This window comes from Homo sapiens, chromosome 10, assembly GCF_000001405.40.
Source record: "Homo sapiens chromosome 10, GRCh38.p14 Primary Assembly".
Lineage (NCBI taxonomy): Eukaryota > Metazoa > Chordata > Mammalia > Primates > Hominidae > Homo > Homo sapiens.
Window position 1 is genome coordinate 27,341,994 of NC_000010.11, and position 3,295 is coordinate 27,345,288.

General features: G+C 31.6%; 1 long non-coding RNA gene across 1 annotated transcript; it reads left to right on the forward strand.

Annotated features, from left to right (window-relative positions):
• Positions 1–1,442: 1,442 nt before the first annotated feature.
• Positions 1,443–2,924, forward strand: LINC02673 (long intergenic non-protein coding RNA 2673). The gene is made up of 2 exons (NR_187428.1): positions 1,443–2,658; positions 2,746–2,924. It is a non-coding gene; the product is annotated as a long intergenic non-protein coding RNA 2673 (long non-coding RNA).
• The last annotated feature ends 371 nt before the right edge of the window (positions 2,925–3,295 follow it).

Consider the following 3,295-nt stretch of genomic DNA (forward strand, 5'->3'; position numbering starts at 1 on the left):
AGGATTTACACTTAAAGAAATTTTAGCTTTTAAGAGTACTACGCAAAAGGAGAGTTGAAATAAAAACAACAAATTGTTAAAACAAAGTACTCCTTTAATATTTTAAAAACTTCAAGCCAAAGAAAACTTGGGATTCAAATGAATAGGTATGGCTCATTTTATTTTGTATTTAGATTTACAGAATGTATATTAATTCATATTTAGATTTATGGAGGGAGTACATGTAAATTAGGTATTTCCAATTATTCATATTACTATTTAAAGCTGTTATAAATTTCCAAAATCGTGGTTGGTAGTTATCTTTTACTAATTTCTCACTTCAGAAGTATTTTTGTTTGAAAGATGAGAGGAAAAGCTTCAATTGAGATTCAGTCCTATTACTCCAATTTTAAGCCTCTCATGTTGCTGAGGCTGAGCAGGTAAATGTGAAATTTTTAAGGATGAAAGGGTCTTGAGAGTTAATAGAATGTGTCTTCTACATAATAGGCATTCAGCTTACATGTGATAAATGGATTCAAAGAATGGATAAATATAGTTGGGAAGTTCAATATCTTAAAAAACTGCTATAAATAAAGCACTTATATTTGCTACTTTATTTTCCTAATAACAAAACTACACTAAAATGATTAATCTGTAATTATTGACATATATATAATAAATCTAGATATAATAAAAATATGTTTCTAATAAAATGTACATGTAAATCAACAAGCACAGATAAAAAGTTTCTCTTCTGAAAATGCTAAAAGTTCACAGAATATACTAATCCACAAAAAATAAAAATTAAAATATAGAAAGTGAAAAATTATTTTAATCTGTGCAAAATTCATATTCCTGCTCTTCCCCAAAATTATTTCATTAATAATAAACTTTTACTAATAACATTGTACTTGTTCAATGCAGAAATCAAAGATAATAAAAAGGAAAAACATTTTATATTAAAACAAATGCCCTCAAATAACAAATTTTATCATATTTCGTACATAATTTCAGATAACACAAGACCATCATCTGTATGTATAAACAAACTGAACTTTACCCTTACTTGGTACACCAAAATACATTTTCAAATGTCAACATACTTCTGTATATGTTTCTACATTCAGTGGTCACATTTTATCCCACGCTGTAAATTCACTGAAATGTATTTATAAAAGCCATTGTATGGATTCTTCTTAATACACTGATATTTTAAGCAGCGCTCAAAAAAGAAATTGTGTGTATGTTTCCTTATTTTCTAAAAATATCTTAATGTAATAGAATTGATCACCAACAGGCATATACAATTTTTTAAATATGGTACTTACCACCAAATTGTCTATTTGAAAAGTCATCTGCAACTTAAACTTTAAGCAGCAGTATAAATATCACTGCTCTTTATCCTCATAAACTTTGTGGATAGAAAACAGTATTTGATTCCTGTTTTAACTTAAATGCCTTCTCTAACGAGGAACACTAAATATTGTTTCCTGTGTGCATAAGTCACTTGCAGATCTAGAAGAAGGAGTTTGCCCAATTTTAAATTAGAGGCAAAGTACTTTTCTTAGATCTGCAATTTACATCTCTAATTTAAATTGCCCAATTTTAAATAGAGGATTTTTTTGTTGATTTGAGTGAATTCTCTGTAAAATGAAGATTTTTAAATCTGCTATATATACACACATGCACATACATGTGTAGTAAATATTTTACAAGTATGCTGCCTTTTATTTTTTCTCAAATGCAGGGTAATTTTTGTTTTGCTAAATTAACCTTCACAATGCTTATTTCTGAGAGTCTTAGAAAGGTTTTGTCAACATAAAAATGTATCTGTGTAAATAGGCATTTATATTTTCTTCTGATTTTTTTTCATTTTGTATATTAAAAATTTTTAATCTATATTCCATCAGGAACTTATTTCTTTTATGTACTGTAACTTTGGCATTTTTTTCTAGAGATCATCAAACCCAAGAGAGTCTAGATTTTCTCCTGTTATTTTCCAGAAGTTTTATAGTTTTGTATTTGACATTTAGGTCCGTGATTCATTTTGACTTAATTTTTGTGAGAAGGTAAGATCTGATTCATTTTTTTTACATGTGGGTATTCAGTTGTTCCAGCACCACTTTCTGAAGAAACCAACCTTTGTTTCATCATGTTGCCTTTACTTTTTCATCAAAGATTAATTAAATATATCGATGTGTCGCTATTTCTAAACTCTCTGTCTTGTTTCATTAACCTGTCTATTCTTTCATCAATATGATACTGCCTTGATTACCGTAGCCTTACAGTAAGTCTTGAAGTTGAGTAGTGCCTGTCTGTCCTCCAGCTTTGTTCTCCTTCAATATTGTGTTAGCTATTCAAGGTCTTTTTCTTCCCCATATAAGCTTTAGAATTACTTTTTCTATATCCATAAAATAATTTGCTTCCATTTTGATTAGAAGTGCATTGAATCTGTACATTGGTAAGAAATGACATCCTGATGATACTGAGTTATTCTATTCATGAATATGATGTATCTTCTCCATCTCTTCAGTTCTTTTTTTATTTCCATCATCACATATGGACAGTTTATGAAATTACATAACTCCCTCTACCTTGACCAAAGGACAGTGATGAATTCCTCGTTCTGCAGCCAACAAGTCACCTCTGAGGGCCATGTGTCTAAACATAGACAGGAGGGTAAGAAAATGATAAAGACATCCTGGGAAAAATAGGAAATTCGAGAATCAGCAACTGTGTCTAAGTAACTCCTTTCCATTTCCCCAGGACACCTGTTGCTTCAGCCAACACCTGCTGGCATGTGCTGAGGATGCTGGTGCTGCTGGCTTTCCCAGCCCTGCCCCCGGGGCTGCTTTGGGTGTGTGCCTCTTGACTTTAGTGAGAATGTACTTTTTCATCCCTACCATGGGTGAAAAGTTTTCACAAATAAAAACTTTTTAAAATAATGCCAACTTTTGTATTAGATAGAGGTGCTGCGTGTGCAGGTTTGCGTGTGTCTTTTTGGTAGAATGTTGTATTTTCTTTTGGGGATATTCCCAGTAATGAGATTGCTGGGTCAATTAGTAGCTGTGTTTTACATCTTTTGAGAAATCCCCAAACTGCTTTCCACAGTGGCTGACCTAATTTACATTCCCAGAGACAGTGAATAGGAGTTTCCTTTGCAGCCTCGCCAGCATCTGTTAACAAATGACCACTTTTATTCCAGACATAGATCATCTGTTAGTTTTGATTTTAGCACATCCTCTGAAGAAGATAGTGTTTTTCACAACCAAAGATGATTTCACCTTCCAAACGTGTTTTTTTTTTCTCATTTTCT